Genomic DNA, 17,564 nt, shown 5'->3' with positions numbered 1-17,564 from the left:
GTTCCATGCTGGGAGTGAGGGATGGGCCTTCTTGAGACGAAGCCCTGCCTCAGTGGTCCGGGCACATCTCTGACAGCCTGGCCACTACCTCCCAAGTTGTGCATAATGGTAGTTAGAAATCCACGGAAGAAAGGGACAGAAAGGTTGTGTGTATGGGGTGTGGGGGCAGGCCCAGTATTATCCACTGACATGTGTGTTTCCATATGGCCCCACAGCAGAGAGACGCGAATTCAGGCCTTCTAGCACTCGGAGCGCTGGGTTAAGGTTGGGGTGCGTATGCGTGGGGATCCTGAGCTGGCACCTCTGGGACAGTGAGGACAAAGGGGCCAGGAGAGCAGGCAAAACTCCACCAGAGAGGCCCTGTGCGGGGCTCAGTGTCTATCTGTGGGCAGAGGAGAGACGAAGAGAAATGGTGAAAGGAATAGGAGAAAGAGAAGAAATAAAAATGAGGGCACTGAAACAGAGAGAAAGAGCTAACATCCACACAAAGAGAGGCCGGGAAACACTGGCTGAGCTTGAGGAGCGGGTGGTGGGCAGCGGGAGGCGTGCGAGGGAGAGCCTTGGGAGGCCAGCAACCAAAACAATTGGCTGGGCTTCTGGCTGGAAAGGTGGGCAGAACGGCAGGGAGGGGAAGGGGCTGCAGAGAAAAATCCTGCTCTCTGGGTAGGGGAGAGGCGGCAATGGAACCTGCTTCTTCCAGCTCACAAGCTCACAGCATTTCCCCCACTCTTCTCTGTGAGCCCAGGGCTGAGATTGACGGGCCTGCAGCTTCTCTGGGTCCTGGGTGGATTTGAATAATTAAGTCATCTGGATTCTTATGATTTACCATTTTCAATGATAAATAGACAGCACCCAAGCCAGCCAGTTGGCAAAACTCTGGCTGCTAGTTATAATTTGTCAAGCTGCCAGCAGATTCATGTTTTATGCTAATGGAGGGGGACTCATTGACTAGGAGGAGGCAGTGACCAGGTCAACCCTTTCCTCAGGCACCCCAGAGGTCGAGAGGTCGGGGGAGAAAGGCCGAGGCTGTTATGGATTTTCTGTAAGGGTCGGTGTAATTTTATCATAATTCAGCGGGTACACACACTCTCACATACACTGAGGGTCACATATGGAGAGACATGTTCAGATTTGCAGGCACCTCTATCCCCCTCCACACACACACACTGGCACCTGTGCAGGCATCTGGGCCCGGTGTACACAAGCCTGGCACAGGCACACTTCTCTGCCCCCCTTCAGCTCACTCACACATGCACACCCTTGTTATCACCTTCAGGCACGTGATTACACCAAGGCAAACTCACAGACCTGCTCTGCAACCTGGAGAAACGTATCACATCACCCCTACCCTCCCTCACCTCTGACGGAGCAATGTTTGGGAGGGCCCCACCGCCGCCCATCCCAAACCCTTTGTTTTGGGACTTTCATGGCGGTTGATCCCAGCACAGGCTTCTTGCTCCCATTCTAACATTTTTCCAGTGGGAAAAACAAATGGGCCCCAGGGAAGTCCTGCTTGTCAACCAGCTGGGGCTGGGTAGCTGGAGCTCGGAAGTCAGGGGCTCTTAGACCCAGCACATGGAAAGCTGCAATGAAAATCAGCTGACTCCGAACCACACTTTCTTTTCCATTGGTTTATTTGTATATTGGTCCACAACACATTGAAGCCTCACAGTTCCAAGAATTTTTTTTTTTTCATATTTGTGGCAAACTGAGGTAGAGACAATGCTTGGCACAGAATAGGTACTAGATAAATATTAGTGGAATGAACAGCCGAAGCGACTGACTTCTAAATGGAGCAGATTGCTCATTTCACTTCTGTTCCTCCACCTCAACAAACCTTTACATCCTCACTGGTTTGTGAGGCCAGAGAACAGGTGTGGCCTTGGTGTGATAAGAAATGCTAATTTTATACAAACTGAAGCAATCTGGTCTCAACTTTGACCCCCAAATGCCCTCAAAATGGATCAATGAGCCAGGGAGGCTTGAGGAAGGAGGGAGCATCTGCCCTTCCTCCTGGCCAGAAGAGAATTTGAATTTGCTTTGAGTAGCTTATGGGCAGGGCTGGAAGGTGCAGTTCATGACTGTCAGCAGCTTTGAGGCTGATGGAGGCATGGGGAAGGATTAGGGGCCTGGGAGAAAGCATTTTATTTCCCTGTACCCCACCACCCCAACATGGGGGAGAAAAACACAACAGCAAACTGAACAGAGCAGAGGCCGAGGCAGCAAGAACCCAAAGACGGAAGCTGCTTCTAGCATCAGGCTCCAGGATGCAACTGCGGCTCTCAGCTCTGCCGGCTGAGCTTCCAGATCCTGCGAAGCAAGTCAGGTTCCTTCCTTCCCTGCCAGGCTGGAGTAAGGAGGCTGTTCTAGGCAGGCAGTCTGCAGCTGCTCACCAAGGTCTGGAACAAGCTGCCTTCCTTCTTTGCCGAGCAGATGTGGATGGCGGTGGGCCTGGCTAATCAGGGGTGTTCTGTGGAAAGATAGCCAAGAGCCAGAATTGCCAGCCTCTCCATTCCAAGGGATAGATGACCCCCAACTGCATCAGGAATAGGGAAATATGCTTTGTTTATTTAAGAGTTTGAGGCTCCGACCTGGCGCCATTGACCTCACTCTCACTCACCCTGGGAGAGTAACAGCCTTGAGGGCATCAGCAATTCCATTTTTGGGAGCAGGGACAGGCTGACTGTGGTTTGCAGATGGCTGGGAGTGGGGAAGAATTGTCTAGGGGTGAGCCAAGGGGATGTGAAGGTCATAATCATGATTAATACATAAAACTAATTGATTCATCCCACATCTGGTTAGCAAAGCTTACTCCCCATTTCCCCCCTCATCTTTTTTTTTCTTTTTTGAGACAGGGTGTTGCTCTGTCACCCAGGCTGGAGTGCAGTGGCACGATCTCAGCTTACTACAACCTACGTCTCCTGGGCTCAAGCCATCCTCCCACCTCAGCCTCCCAAGTAGCTGGGACTACAGGTGCACACCACCATGCCTGGGTAATTTTTGTATTTTTTGTAGAGATGGTTTTGCCATGTTTCCCAGGCTGGTCTTGAACTCCTGGGCTCAAGCATTGCTTCCGCCCTGGCCTCCCAAAGTGATGGGATTACAGGTGTGAGCCACCGCGCCCAGCTGCTCCCTCCCCATCTTCTAATCCTGCTATTTGCATCCAAATAGTGAACTCTTGAGGGCAGGGTACATGTTAACCAGCCTAAAGGGCTCAGAGCAGAGCCATCTGGAGTACAAAGATAGTACAAGATCCCCAACTTGGACTGGATGAAAAGGGAGACAGAGAAATCAGAAAGGTTGGAAGGAAGAGAGAGAGAAAGAGAAATAAAGGAAGGGAGAAGCTAGAGAAAAGAGGGGAGGAAAAGCTTAAAGAGCAATGCTAGGCAGTGCTGGTCAGAGGCCTCCCTGAGACAGCACTGCAAGGTTTACTGTGAACATGCCTTTCTAGCCAGTGGTTTGGGGGTGCCCCAGCCCATCCTCAAGGCATACACTGCCCTTGGAGGAACTGGCTGACCTCAGTGACCTGCCCCATCCCACTTTTGGGAGACAAAGGAATTGGCTCTAAGAAACCTTGTGAATCAACCAGAGCACATGAGCAGGGCATGGGGAGTGCAGGCCCAACAGGCTAAAGATACCTAGCAACCTCAAGTTGATCCTCTCTATAGCTAAATCTAAAGTCACCTTACCAATTAATCTCTTTGTGTGTGTGAATTCAGTGAACTCTACTGCAGACCTAAGGTCCACTTGCCCGGGTAGGGAATGTCTTCCTTCCCTTTCATGTATGAGATCCTTTCTCTGGCTTTTCCAGGATTTGCAAACCTCCTCCCAAGCTCTTTGCAGATGAATCCAACCCCTCCTGGCATGGAGAAACTCCTTGACCTGAAAGGTGGTTTTCTGGGGCAGGGTTGGAGATAAGGATAGCAAAGGAGGAAGATTTTTCTTCTCACCAATGGAAGAAAATGAAGATCTCACTCCCAGCCTCCCATCCTCCCAACCCCTACACCCTCACACTCCCCTCCCACCCTTGCAAAGTGGACTAGGTCTTATCTTCATCCCTGTCTCATTTGCACATACTCAGGCAGGCTAACCAAAACTACAGAAAAACCCTCCAGTGCAAAGGGCTCATTTAACAAATGATCACCGGGCACAGTGGCTTATGCCTGTAATCCCAGCACTTTGGGAGGCTGAGGTGGGCGGATCACTTGAGGTCAGGAGTTCGAGACCAGCCTGGCCAATATGGCGAAACCCCGTCTCCACTTAAAATACAAAAATTAGCTGGCCGTGGTGGCACATGCCTGTAATCCCAGCTACTCAGGAGGCTGAGGCATGAGAATGGCTTGAACCGGCGATGTAAAGGCTGCAGTGAGCTGAGATCGTGCCACTGCATTCCAGCCTGGGCGACAGGGTGAGACTCCATCTAAAAACGAACAAACAAACAAACCAAAAAAACCAACAAACAACAAACAACAACAACAACAACAACAAATGATCAAACAGGCCCAAGCTCACAGAACCAGAGCACCCCCGAGCCCGGAACAAAGCTGCCCGGTCTTCAGACAGCCTCTGCCAGTAGGGTGGGAATGGAGGCACTTGGGGCTGCGGGTGAGAGGATTGAGCCCGGGAGAGGGGCCGCCAGGGTGGGAATCCACAAACAATTCCTGCCTCACTGGCCTCTTGTACTTCATGCACGCCTTTTGGAACCAGATCTGGACCTGCATGTCATACAGCCTCAACGCCATGTGTCCAGCTTGGCGTGCTGTGTCGGGGGCAGGTAGGGCTGCAGGAAGAACTCCAGCTCGCTCAGCTGCTTCGAGAAGAGAAGCCCGTATGCAGGCAGCCAGCCCCTGCCTCTACCTCCCACGGTTCACAGGCAGCCATCACCCAGGTCTGGGCCCTAGAGACGGCGGAGTGGTGGCGGTCAGGGCCTCCGCAGCCCAAGGTGAGGCGGGGAGGGGCCCCAACTGGCCTTTCTGCTCACCCTCCATCTCCTCTTTCCTCCCTGTGCTCCTCAGGAACCGGGATCCCCTTTCTGTTAACCGTTAACCTTAGTTGAGTTCGTGTTTCTCTTTCTCTCTCTCTCTACCCGCCTTCCCCTCACTCCCCTTATTCCTTCTTTATCTCACTGTATCTTCATTTCTCATTTTTCCTTCCTTCTTTTGCTTCATTTCTGCCCTACCTTCACTTTCTCTTTTTCTTCCATTCCTTCCCCTGTCCTTGCTTCTTTCCCTTGTCCCTGTCTTTCCTCCTTTTCTACCTATCTTTCTGTCTCCCTTCCATTTATTTTTTCTCACTTTTACCTCCCTTTCTTTCCCTTCCTTTTTCTTTTACTCTCTAGCTCTCTCCTTTCATTTGCTTTCTGTTTCTCTCCCTATTTTTCTTTTCTTTTCCTTTCTGTCTTTATCTCTAATCTTTTTTCTTCTATTTTCTATTTTAACAGGCCCCAGACTATCTCTAATCTTAAAAACCCAAACAAACCTAGTCCTGCTTCTTCCTTCTGCTCTTTATCAATATTCCTTTCATGTTATCTCTATCCCAGCCACCCTTCCAGAATACCTTTCTGTCTCCAGCATTAGGGCCTTTTCACATCTTTTCCTCTCTCCCAGTTTTTTCTCTTTGCTGTTCTGAATTTTTCCAGTCCTTTATGCTGTTTCCCTAGGCCTTCTTCTTATCTTCCTTTGTTTCTAAATTCCCTCTCAGCAGTAGGCACAAGGCACAAAACTGGCCCCTCCCCAGTAGAGGTTTTTGTCCTGCGTAAGCCCAGCCATCCTTCATGCATTTCTTTCTCAACTCCTGTCAACTTGAGACTCAATCTCAAGGGCCCGGGAATAGAGCTGTTTCCCCCTACTTGAGAAGTCAGGGCTGGGTCCACAGCTCCCTATTACAGGCTTAGGGAAGCCTTGCCAAACTGCTGTCAGTCCATCAATCCTAAGAAGAAAGGGGAAGAGGAGCAAGGAAAGAGAAAAAGAGAGATAGTCCCATAGATCTGTGGGACTGGGTTGGGGGTGGGGGGGTGGGGCGAGGGGTAGTATTGGAGAGGCAGGAGCAAAAAGGACCACATTCATCAAAGGGGGAGTGGGGTAGGCAGAGGACCAGACATCTTCTCTCAGAGCACACAAAGCCCCAGCAGCCTGCAAGAAGACGCCCAAGCTGGCTCCCACGTTTGCTTTGGGACTGGGGATGGATGAGGCCTTCCATTCCAAATCCTCTGAACTGCAGAGGTGTGAAGGGCCACAAGATGTGAGGAAAGAAAAGGGTTTACATTCGTTTTGCGTATCAGTGGATTTCGTGTCTGCCCCTGGACATGTCCTTCTCAAAGGCCCTTTTTTTGGGAGACCAAGCCAAACTCCCTGTTGGCAGTGCCAGCGGAAGCCCTCCTAAACCTCTCAGCTAGGCCAGTCCAACTCCGTCCGGGGCTTGCCAATGAGCAGATGCCGAGCAGGTGCCAGGGCAGGTGCTGGGCCACAGCAGAAAAACTTCAGGAATAGTGAAAACAAAGGCCTGGGCAGATTTGTGGCTTCTGACCCGGCAGGGCCAAGTGGCCTCTGCAGGTGTCTACCCAGGAAGGGCCAGAACACCACATGTTCCACGTAGGAATTTTCTCTCCTAGGATCCAGATCGCTTCCTGGCCCTTTCCAAGGAGTCGGAAGGTGTCCTCTGCCACTTGCCTGGCTCCTCCAGCTGGGTGCTCCCCAGGAGGGGCCCAACCTAAAAACTAAAGGCACAGCGCAGACCCTTGCCGCTTGGCTGGACCTCCCCGCCCAGGAACACCCCGGGCTCCAGGGTACCCCCCAACACCTGCAGCGGCCTCTGCCCTTGTCCACTTCCCCAGGCCACCCCGCAGCTTCTACACCGGCCTGGGCCCGCCCTTCCCCCTTGTCCTGGGCCCCAAGTTCAGCTGTGACCTCTGAACCCACCCTCTGCTCTTGACTGCCCTTTGAAGAACCTCTCCATTCCTTCCTCCTGGGGCATCTCTTGGGTGGGGGAGGAAATCTCAGCCCTGGGAGGAGAGTAGGGGCCTTTTCCTTGCCCTCCTTTGGGAACTGGAGAAGAGCGGGAGATTGTGCTGGAGGCGGGAGGGGGCACTCGCTTGGCTCCATCTCAAGGAAATGGGTCTCTGACTCAAATTGGATTCAGAAAAAAAAAAAAAAGATTTTTGGGAGTTATTCCCTCTCTCAGATCACTCCTAACTTAGAATCAACGTAAGGGCCCAGGACAGCAGGGGACCGCTCTGGGCGGATCCCCCGCCCCGTCCCGGCAGAGTCGGCAACTCGGGCTGGCATTTCCTTCCCTTTCCGCGGGGCGTGTCTGGGGATCTCCAAGCGTCTCTAAGGGCCTGCTGGGGTGAGCGGGTTTGGGACGCGGCTGGGTTTTTCTAGGCTGGTAATCGGTCCCGACTGGGGAATAAGCACACACATCCTTCCTTCAGTACGGGAAGCGGAGCACCCTCTCTCCCACTTTAGCCCTCGAAACCCCAACTCCGCTCCCTTCTCCATCTCCCCTCAAAAAACTTTTCCGAAGTTCCCCCAAGTTGCGTTTGAGGAAAGAAGTCGTCTCCCTCAGACTCTGGGTTTCTCGGCCCCTAACCCTCCCCTCAATCCTCAGTTTCGGAAGCAACCCTCCCCCTCCCCTGCCAGCTACCACCTTAGTCCCTAAACTCGGGGAGGAAAGCTGCTCTGACCCCATGCATCTGACAGAAGCCCAACCCCAGCCCAAATTTCTCCCGGGGGAAGGCAGATTAATATGTCAGCCTGCAGGGGAAACAGGGGTAAGGGGAGGGAGAGACCGGGACGGGGAGAGACAGATTGTTCTCGGGCTGAATCGCACCCGTCCCGGGCCCAGCTTACCTGCTCCGGACAGGCTCATCTAGATTTCCATCCTGCCAAAAGTTTGTCCTTCTCTCAAACGATTCCGGGAGGAGCGCAAACTCGGCTCTTGGGGAGGGCAGGCGGGCCGGGTACCCTTGAAGGCGCAGGCGCCTGATACAGAGCAGGCCCCGGGGAAGCAGGACTCGGGGGCACGGTCGCCAAAGTGGGGACCCGAGCAGCGATCCGGAGGGAGAGCATTCAGGCGCCCGGGCTGGGGGCTACACTGCTGGCGCGGGATGGCCCAGGACAGAGTGGGCGCTATAGCGTGAGTGGCCATCAGGGCCGGGCGGGCCCGGGGAACTGGAGGGAGAGGTCCCTGGGTCCCTGGCGACGTCTCTCGCTTTCTCCAGTTTCTGCCGTGCTGGTGTGCCCCAGCCCACAACATTCCCTCGACCTCTTCTGGGGCGGCGCTCAGGGCCCCCACATGGCGAAAAGGGAGGGTGAAGGGATGAGGCGCCCCTCCCGCCTTAGCCCCTCCTCAGCCCCCACGCCACAGCCCCCCCTTTCTCCCCAGAGCCGAGGGACAGACAGAGAATTGCGACTAGAATTCGATCGATTGGTACGAGGGACCACGTGGCCAGGGGCTGGCCAATGACCAGGCCGCCCGGGATGAGCTAATAATGGAAGCAATTTGTAACTTTCAGTAGCTCTCTAGGCCTGGGTACCGGAGGGAGGGAGGCGGGCAGAGGAGGGGAGATGGGCACCCCCAGTCTTTCCATCCTCCTCATTCGTCTAGGGGCACCCGAATCCCCTATTCCTTATTTCCCCTATCACTCAGGCACTGGCAGGGTCCTTGGCCCACTCCTGTTGGCCGCCGCGGCTCCAAAGCGAGGTAAGCTGGTCCTCTACCCCTCAAACTCTTCACAACCCTCACCCCGTTTACTAGCACCTGCAAACCACAGCCTCCCTTCCTGTCCCATTCGTGAATTTAAATCGGATTTTGTTTTTCCTCTTAGTTGAAAGAAAAAAAATATGTTTGTATTCTTTTGTGTAACCTATCTTGGATTTGGAGAAAATTTTAATTCAAATTAATACACTTATATTGGGGGGGGTGAGTGGTACTTTCTTCCTTTTCAATAAATTTGTATACTTGCTACTTTATGGAGAGTTTACTTTTCTTTGGGGATGAGTTACACCTTATGTTTTCACATGTGTTACTTCTTTAATGATAAGTTCAACTCCTTTCTCCATTCCATCCTCCAATTTTGCTATTTATAAATATCACCTAATAGATTTAGAGTTTATTCATTTTTCTCCTCCCTCACTAGTTTTTCAGCTGTTACAGAATCACCACAATTTATTTTCCTCTGTGTGTGGATGAGGTTTTGCGTTGATTCCTCTTTTTGTTTTGTAAATGAATTTATTGTTTGGGAAACTCTTGGGGGGTGTGTGTGTGTAAAAAAGGTCTTTTGATTAATTCCAACCTCTCCTCTTCTGAAGAACAATTTGCTTGAAATGTTTTGTGTATTTTCCTCGTTTTTATTTGTTTAAATTTGAGGTATTTTACCTTCTTTAAAACCTGGCCTCTTTTTAAAATTTAACCTTTTGCATGTTAAACCATTTTTAAGGTTTTTATTTTATAAACTTCAATGGTTAGTAGATTTACTTGCCTTTCCCTGACCTCCTTCACGCGCCTGCCTCCTCCATCTCAGAACTCCCATCTCCAGCTTCCACAATTCTCAGCTTCCAACGGACTCATCCTCCCCTCTCCTCCCAGCCAAGGAGGGATGCCTGGGAAGTAGACAGTGTCCTTCTTGGGTCAGAACCTATGCTCTGGTTCTAGTTCAGGACACCTCCAGTCTGACCTCCAAGCCGGCAAAACGAGTGAGAGCAGAATTTCTGTTCAACTTTTTCATTTGGGACTAAGTTCTTTACACTTGGCTGTATTCTGGAGAACTCTGATACATGAAATTGAATTTTAAATTCTCATTTTTTCCCTAAATTCTAAGAAAAGTGCAGGCAGATTGTTTTTCTTCCTTAAATGTAAGCTGAACAGCTTAGGGGTCAGCCCCTTGGGTCTTTTACCTCCTGGGGGAGACTTCTCAGAGAGACACACAGTGTTGATTCTTCCTTTTAGTTTTGGTTAAGGTAGAAGGGGCAGGGATTGGGGAAGCCCATATTGATCTCTGGCTCTAGCTCTGAACAAAGAAGGGTAGAGAGCTGGCCTGGGGACTTGTCCCTTTTGTCAGTAAGGTTTGGCTTAGGAGAGAGTTTGAAGTAAATCCCAGCTCTGAGGAAATTCTTCTTTTTAGCATTACTGTGAAAATAAACTATTAAAATGGTGTGACATGGCTTCAAACTATTCAGATTCCTTGAAGTAACAAAAATAAAATTACAAGAGTAATTCGTGTTTCCCAAAGGTCCGCCTCCAGTGACTATCCATTTCTCTCAGGGAAACGGAACCCAACTGGGCAGAAGTAAAACTGCCCCCCTCCCCTTTCAGTTCCCCAGTCACATTGACATTCTGGGCACATTTGGCCCAGCCCCCGTCCCTGTTTCTCCCAAGTATGAATCTAAATTACTATTAATAAGGGGCCGCTCGAAGTTAATTGGCATTAAAAGAATTCATTTCGATTTGTTAATATTAAATGAATGCTCTGCACTTTAGCTCCCTTCTTCGCCCTGGATTCCCAGATGAGTGATGGGAAGAGGGGGCAGGGAAGTAGAATGAGGATTTTATTTCTGGGTCTCCAGCTTAGCCACTGTGGTGCCTCCCCTGGGGGTGTGCGATCAGGCACAGTGGGGGCCTGCTTGGGGAAAGTCTGATGGTCTTTTTTGGTGAAATTCATCTGTTTCAGCAGGAGTTGTGGGGGAGGGTGGGTGGGGAGCAGAGGGAGAGGGACAGAATGGTTTGGGGGACTTTGTGGGGAGCGGAGGGACTAGGGAGAAAGTGGGAAGGGAAAGGGACGGAGGTCAACAGGAGTTTTGGAGAACAAGGGTTGTAGGCTGTCGGGGGTAAAGCAGATTTGTGAAGAACTGGTGATAGGAACTAAACAACCCACCTAGAAGAGGAGGGGCTTCGAGCAGGGGTGGGGAGGTGGGATTTGAGGCAAAACAGCTAGGGGTTCTGAAACTATTAATATCTAGCTGTGTGACTCAGGGCAAGTTGCTTAACTTTTCTCTCTGCCTTAGTTTCTTGACCTGTAAAACAGGGATACTAATAATAGAACTTATCTCAGGGGGTTATTTGGAATTAGAAGAAATACATGCCATGTGTTTTCCACAGTGTTTGGCACATAGAAACTGCCAGTAAATGTTAGCTCTTTTTATGGCAGAGTGGTTAACAGGATGGATTCTGGAGCTAGACGGCCTGGTTTTGAATCTCAGTCATGCCTTATGTGAGTTGTATGACCTAGGCAAGTTACTTAACCCCTTGTGCTTTAGTTTCCTTGTCTGTAAAATGGGGTTAATAGTACCTAGCTCAAAGGTTGCTGTCAGGATTAAATGAGTTATATGTACGAAGAGCCTGGAACAATGCCCATCCCATAGGAAACACTATGTAAGCATTAGTTGTCATTGATATTGTTGCTCTTCTGATCTAGGAAGGCTGAAAATAGAGGCACAGGTGAGCTACTACTTACAGGCTAAGATTGGAATCAGATCAACTCTTTCACTCCTATCCCTGAAGCTAGTCCTGCAACTGGGGCTCCATATGAGGGCTTGGGGAGAGATCCTATAACCCTGGAAGCTAGGATATCCAAGTCCTTCTTCTGCTCTAGCTCTTGGGTTGGTGGTCCCTCCAAGACCCATAGACTCGAAGTCACTTCTTTTTCTCTGGGCAGGGTTGGGGTGGGGCTGGTAATGGGAGAATTACTTTCTTGGTCTAATAACTCCCTTTGGTAGAGAGTTAGTCCTGGGAGTGTGAGTTGGGGGAGGTTGAGTAGAGCAGAGGAGATTAAATATCCTTTATGTACCAGCCCACACACACTTGACCTCACCAGAGGGTTGGGAAGACAGAGATTCAAGGAGAGGAAGTGATCTGACAAAGTTCTAAAGCTAGAACTTGGCAGAGTTGGCATCTGAACTCTGATCTGCTTGATGACAAACTTAAAGCCCTTCCATTGCTGCATGCTTTTTGAAGGGAGGGATGGGACACATGTGAACTTGGGCCAGGACCATGGGGTAGATGGAAGATGGGCGAAGATAGAGTATTGGAGTGGGAAGTGGCCAAGCAGGAATTTTTCAATCATGGAAGATTTCATGAGAAAAGAGATTCCACATCAGGGTTCAGATGGTAGGGGAATGAGGATAGGAAGTAAAGAAGAGGGAGGGAGCCATGCATTGACAAGGAAGGAGAAGAAAAAAGAATTTATGCAAAGGCTGGGTCAGAGTAATGGACATGAATTCGATTTGCCTTGGGTTTGCCTTACCATTTATTGAAGGCATACTATGTACTAGGTACATACATGATCACATTTGATGTTCACAACAGCCCTGACAAGTGGGCTTCTTACCCCTATTTCCAAAAGAGTTCATTGAAGTTCTGAGAGCTTAATCCCCGCTTTAGGCTACACAGTAGTAGCTGGATTTCCTGGCATCAGAACCCTCACCTAGGCTGCCTCTGAGCATGGCTTCTGTGTCCCAGTCTCAATTTCCATGAAGTTTCAGGTCCTCCTGTTCCCCCGCATTTGTAGTCACTCTTGGTGACTGGGAACAAAGGGCTAGAGCGTGAGCTGAAACTGAGACAGGGAGTGGCAGGCAGGCAGTGGGGAGAGAAACTTTTCTCACATCCACCCATGTGAAGAAGATGGACAAAAGGGTGGTCTTTCTGGAGGGAGGCTTCCAAGCCACTTTCCCAAGACTGCTGATCTTGGGATGAATGGCAGGGACCTGATTGGGGTAGGGGATGGGTGGTCACATTGTTTTCTGGGCTGTAGACTTTATTTCCCTTCCTTTGGGAAGAGAAGAGGAAGAGGACAGCTCGGGTGTGGGTTTGAGCCCTGGATTAAGACTGCCCGTTGTCCACTAAAATCTCTTCTTTCCTTGCTGCACGAGGGTAGAGAGACACCCAGCTGGACACTCCATTTCCCAGCTGCTCTTGTTGCCAGGTGTAGACACAGGGGAATGTGAGGCAAGCATGTCCTCAAAGCCTGATGACATTGGGTAAATTCTCCTTTGTGTTCTCTCTTTCATGAGCTGGGCAGATGTGCCTGAGACAGGTTTGACCAGGCAACTGAAAAGACATCCCTAAGGGAAGACAAAGCAAAGGTATGAAAGGAACACACGTCCCTGACTGACTAGGAGGAACAGAGCTGCCTGCTGTCTGGAACCGCTTCCTCCCAGACTAAGTGAGAAATAAACTTCTGTTTTCTATATGCTACTGTGTTTTGGGGCCTTTGTGTTATAGCAGTTTTGCTGTCATCCTTTCTAATTCACCTTCTCACACCAGATATTTCAAATTAAAAAGATTGTATCGGGCCAGGTGCAATGGCTTGCGCCTGTAATCCCAGCACTGTGTGGGGCTGAGGCAGGCAGATCACTTGAGGCCAGGAGTTCGAGACCAGTCTGGCCAACATGGTGAAACCCCATCTCTACTAAAAAATACAAAAATTAGCTGGACACGGTGGCACACTCCTGTAATCCCAGCTACTTGGGAGGCTGAGACAGGAGAATTGCTTGAACCCAGGAGGCGGAGGTTGCAGTGAACTGACATCATGCCACTGTGCACCAGTCTGGGCTACAAAATGAGATTCTGTCTCAAAATAAAAAAATGATTACATCAGATCACGGAATAACTATAATAATATTTATTGGGCCAGATAAGTATGCGAAGGACTCTATGCACATTATTTAGTGTAATCTATGTGACAATCCTCTGAGATATGTGTTACTATTATTCCAATTTACACACGAGGAAACAGGTTCAAGGAAGGTAAGTTATGTGCTGAGGGACACACAGGAGGGGGTGGAGCTGGATTTCAAGCCCACTGGGTGTGCAGAACTGAGCCTCTTCACCATGGGGGCAAATCCCTCCTGAGGACGGGGCTGGAAAAGCCATGGAGATCATCTTGTGCTTGGACAAGCCTCTCGCCAGTCACCACAGGGCCCTGAGACTCCCATTCCTACCTTCAAGAAGCTCAGCAGCCTACTACTCATGTTCATGTTGGGTCACTGCATACGGTTTTATTTGAAGGAAGGACCCCAGAGTTAAAATCATTTGAAAACCCCTGATAAATTCAGTCCCCTCCCTCTTTTTACAGGTGAGGCCCGGAGACAAGATATGACTTGCTTAAGGTCACACACTTAGTTTCTCTGTCAATCTTTCTAAATCGAGGACGAGTTCTCTTCCCGCTGTATCAGGCTGCCTCAACAAACAGGGAAGTACAAAAATAGCCAAATCCAGGAAGGAGGGCAGTGGTCTGTGTCTCCTCCAATTATTTCATGGGACAGCCAAGCCTATTTCCTTGATTTCCCTTGTGCCCCTCCTGTCGGATATCTGCTTTGGGACCCATCTCTTTTGGGCTTGCAGAGAGGACGGGCTGCACCAGTTCTCTACCCTCCTCATCACCCAGATGGTCAAACATGCAAAGGGAAAGGAGAGCTGGGGCCAGAGCTAAGGCAGGCAAAGAGACTCCTCGACCCCCTCCAGTCTTTCCACATTTATATTTTTGGAATTTCAGGCTCCCTCCTCCCCCTAGACCTTTCCTAGTAGCCCACCAGGGAGAAGAAGAGGGAAAACTGCCATAAATTTCTCCTATTTATACAAGATGACAGAGTTTCTTGTGCCAGAAAAAACACAGAAAGGGAGCTGTCAAGGGAGAAGGGACCCAGCCCTATTCCATCTGGGGTCAATTTATCTTTCCGAATCATGGCTTGGGGGCTACCCTAACATTGCCTGTATGAAATGCAGGCTTTGACTTGGGGCAGCCAGGCCAGACAGCCCCTGAGCTTTGCTTCTGATCACAGTTTTCCTGCTTCATCTCAACTGCCCCCCACCCCTTACGCTGTCTTTTTAAAAAGCAACTTTCTTGAGGTATAATTCATGTGTCATACAATTCACCATTTGAAATGTACAATTCAATGGTTTTAGTATATTCACAAGTATGTCGAACCATCACCATAGTTAATTTTAGAACATTTTCATCACCTCAAAAAGAAATCTTGTAACCTTTAGCTATCACCTCCCTATCCCCCCATATTCCTTCTTGCCCTTAACAACACTAATGTACTTTCAGTCTCTGTAGATTTCCCTATTCTGGACTTTCATATGAATGGCATCATATAATAAGAGACCTTCTGTGACTAGCTTCTTTCATTGAGCATAGTGTTTTCAAAGTTCATCCATGTTGTAGCATTTATCAGTACTTCATTCCTTTTCAGGGCTGACTAATATTCCATTGTATGGATATATCACACTTTGTTTATCCGTTCACCTATTGGTGAACATTTGGGTTGTTTCCACCTTTTGGATATTATGATTCTCTCTTTCCTCTTATTCTCTAGACATCTTGGATAGTATCCAGTGAGGCCTGTGGGCAAGAATGGGTGTTTCTTATATTTGGGAACACCTAATATCCATGAAAGCAGGGTCTTGGCACATGTCTGCTTTCATGTTAAGTACATGTACTAGCTGGAATTTTCCTCCCTCTTGTTACTGAGGTGGGGCTGCTCCCTCCTTTATCAATTCTCCCTTTTTATCAAGATTGCTATGTTGGACACTTGCTGACTCTTCAGACTAGGGGATTCAGATCCTTCTCTTGGGGCTTCAGAGATGTGGAGTGGATGAATGAATGTCTTCCCATCAGGGAAGAGTTTCCTGAGTCTGGTCTCAAGTGATTCTCCAGTGCCTCACAGCAGAAGGAAGGTCTGTGAAGACTCCCCAGGGTCGAGGGAAAGTTACGTTCTTGGAGGTATGACCGAGCCAGAATCCAGGCCTCCAGTTTCCATCTCCTTGCCTGGCCCATTTCAGTCTTCAGACATGCTTTGAGCTCAATCCAGTCACTCACCCAGCAACAGACACTGCCTCTGCCCTCATGGACCTTGCAGTTCTAGTGGTGAGAGTAAGATGAATACAAGTGAACAAAATGATGGCAAGTTGTTCAAGCTTGTTCAAACTTGTAAACACTGTTCAATGAATGAATGAACCAACAAGAACTTACTATGTGCTCTGGAAAGAAAATGTGAAAAAAGTCAGAGTTGTAAATCACTTTCTGCTACCACTACCTTTCCTAGTCTGGAACTCAGCATTACTTCTCCATCCCTTGGAGGAGAGAGTGGGCAGATATTACAAAATGTTAGCTAATAAGAGCTACCATTTGTTGGACCAGACATACACCAAGGGGTTTCTATAGTTCACTAATTTTCACCCTTTGAATTAGGCATCAATATTTCCATTTTGAAGATGAGAAAAACTGAAACTCAGGTTTAAATAGCTGTCTGAAATCACACCCATAGCAGTAAGTGGCAGAACATTTGCTCTGGACACTGGGATAAGTATGTGTGTATGGGTTTTTTTGGTTGTTGTTTTTTGTTTTCTGGGTTTTTTTTTGTTGTTGTTTGTTTGTTTTTGGGACCGAGTTTTGCTCTTGTTGCCCAGGCTGGAGTGCAATGGCATGATTTCAGCTCAATTCAACTTCCACCTCCAGGCTTCAAGTGATTTTCCTGCCTCAGCCTCCTGAGTAGCTGGGATTACAGGTGCCCGCCACCATGCCTGGCTAATTTTTGTATTTTTAGTAGAGACGGGGTTTCGCCATGTTGGCCAGGCTGGTCCCAAACTCTTGACCTTGTGATCCGCCTGCCCTGACCTCCCAAAGTGCTGGGACCACAGGCGTGAGCCACTGCGCCCGGCCATGTATGTGTTTTTATTCCTAGCACTTCATTACAAATACCAACATCTCTTCCTGCGGCCCTACCACAGAGGGAGCTGATCAGTTTCCCCTCCTGCCCAAAGGCAAAGCAGCCACAGTGGAAGTGCCAGAGTCCTCCCTCACAGCCTTCTGTCTAGTGGTTACTCCCGCTTCAAGGCTAAGGAAGGGAAGGACCTGTTTTGCTTTCAAAGGCTTTTTCCTTCCAGCCCTTGCTGTGTGGCCCGTTGTGTGTGGGAGGGACCATGAGAGGCCTGGATATTGTCAACAAAAGACTTGAACAAGCCAAAGAGCTGATGATGTTGACAAGAAGGGGACCTTAACAAGGCAGATAATCAAAAGTTGATGACTGACAGCCCCTTTCGCATCCCTTCACCCTCTGCTAAATCAGGTCTCTTACATGATCTTGATGACAAATAATAAAAATTATAAACACATTATAGTTTTCACATGCATTTGTTCACTTCTCACAGCAAATATGAGAGGTATCTAAGGCTGAGCAGCTTATTACAGAAAAAAGTTTATGGGACTACAACCTTAATTTTATGTAACAAAATTTATATAGAGCTTACCATGGATCATGTACTCTCCTAAATAGTTCAAAACTTTCATTTTAGAGAGATGGGGGTCTTGCAGCCAGGCGCAGTGGCTCACACCTGGAATCCCAGCACTTTGGGAGGCCGAGGTGGACAGATAACCTGAGGTCAGGAGTTCGAGACCAGCCTGACCAGCATGGTGAAACCCCGTCTCTACTAAAAATACAAAACACAAAAATTAGCTGGGTGTGGTGGTTCATCCCTGGAATCCGGAGACTGAGGCAAGAGAATCACTTGAACCCAGGAGGTGGAGGTTGCGGTGAGCTGAGATCATGCCATTGCACTCCAGCCTGGGC

At 49.2% G+C, this 17,564-nt stretch overlaps 3 long non-coding RNA genes across 3 annotated transcripts in view, besides 3 other annotated features; 1 reads left to right on the top strand and 2 right to left on the bottom strand.

Moving 5' to 3' along the window:
* Positions 868-1,792: an enhancer, noted in NCBI's record as "H3K4me1 hESC enhancer chr12:54526452-54527376 (GRCh37/hg19 assembly coordinates)". NCBI's record gives its function as "activates a minimal SCP1, AML or CMV promoter by ChIP-STARR-seq in primed H9 embryonic stem cells {active_cell/tissue: H9 hESC(primed)}" and the evidence as "EXISTENCE:reporter gene assay evidence [ECO:0000049][PMID:30033119]".
* LINC02381 (long intergenic non-protein coding RNA 2381) lies at positions 1,617-8,389 on the bottom strand. The gene is made up of 2 exons (NR_026656.1): positions 7,848-8,389; positions 1,617-2,470 (listed from the first exon to the last, which is right to left on the bottom strand). It is a non-coding gene; the product is annotated as a long intergenic non-protein coding RNA 2381 (long non-coding RNA).
* Positions 6,746-7,381: an enhancer, noted in NCBI's record as "H3K4me1 hESC enhancer chr12:54520863-54521498 (GRCh37/hg19 assembly coordinates)". NCBI's record gives its function as "activates a minimal SCP1, AML or CMV promoter by ChIP-STARR-seq in primed H9 embryonic stem cells {active_cell/tissue: H9 hESC(primed)}" and the evidence as "EXISTENCE:reporter gene assay evidence [ECO:0000049][PMID:30033119]".
* Positions 7,382-8,015: an enhancer, noted in NCBI's record as "H3K4me1 hESC enhancer chr12:54520229-54520862 (GRCh37/hg19 assembly coordinates)". NCBI's record gives its function as "activates a minimal SCP1, AML or CMV promoter by ChIP-STARR-seq in primed H9 embryonic stem cells {active_cell/tissue: H9 hESC(primed)}" and the evidence as "EXISTENCE:reporter gene assay evidence [ECO:0000049][PMID:30033119]".
* On the top strand, positions 8,065-13,183 carry FAM242C (family with sequence similarity 242 member C). The gene is made up of 3 exons (NR_170197.1): positions 8,065-8,133; positions 8,647-8,700; positions 13,013-13,183. It is a non-coding gene; the product is annotated as a family with sequence similarity 242 member C (long non-coding RNA).
* The window catches only part of FLJ12825 (uncharacterized LOC440101), a 63,981-nt gene continuing 58,642 nt past the window's right edge, over positions 12,226-17,564 (bottom strand). The window contains 1 exon segment of the long non-coding RNA NR_026655.1: positions 12,226-15,856. This is a non-coding gene — a long non-coding RNA (uncharacterized LOC440101).

The sequence above is a fragment of the Homo sapiens genome, chromosome 12 (genome assembly GCF_000001405.40).
Source record: "Homo sapiens chromosome 12, GRCh38.p14 Primary Assembly".
Taxonomy (NCBI): Eukaryota; Metazoa; Chordata; class Mammalia; order Primates; family Hominidae; genus Homo; species Homo sapiens.
The sequence above is the reverse complement of the archived record's forward strand: the minus strand, read 5'-3'. Positions and strand labels throughout refer to the sequence as shown.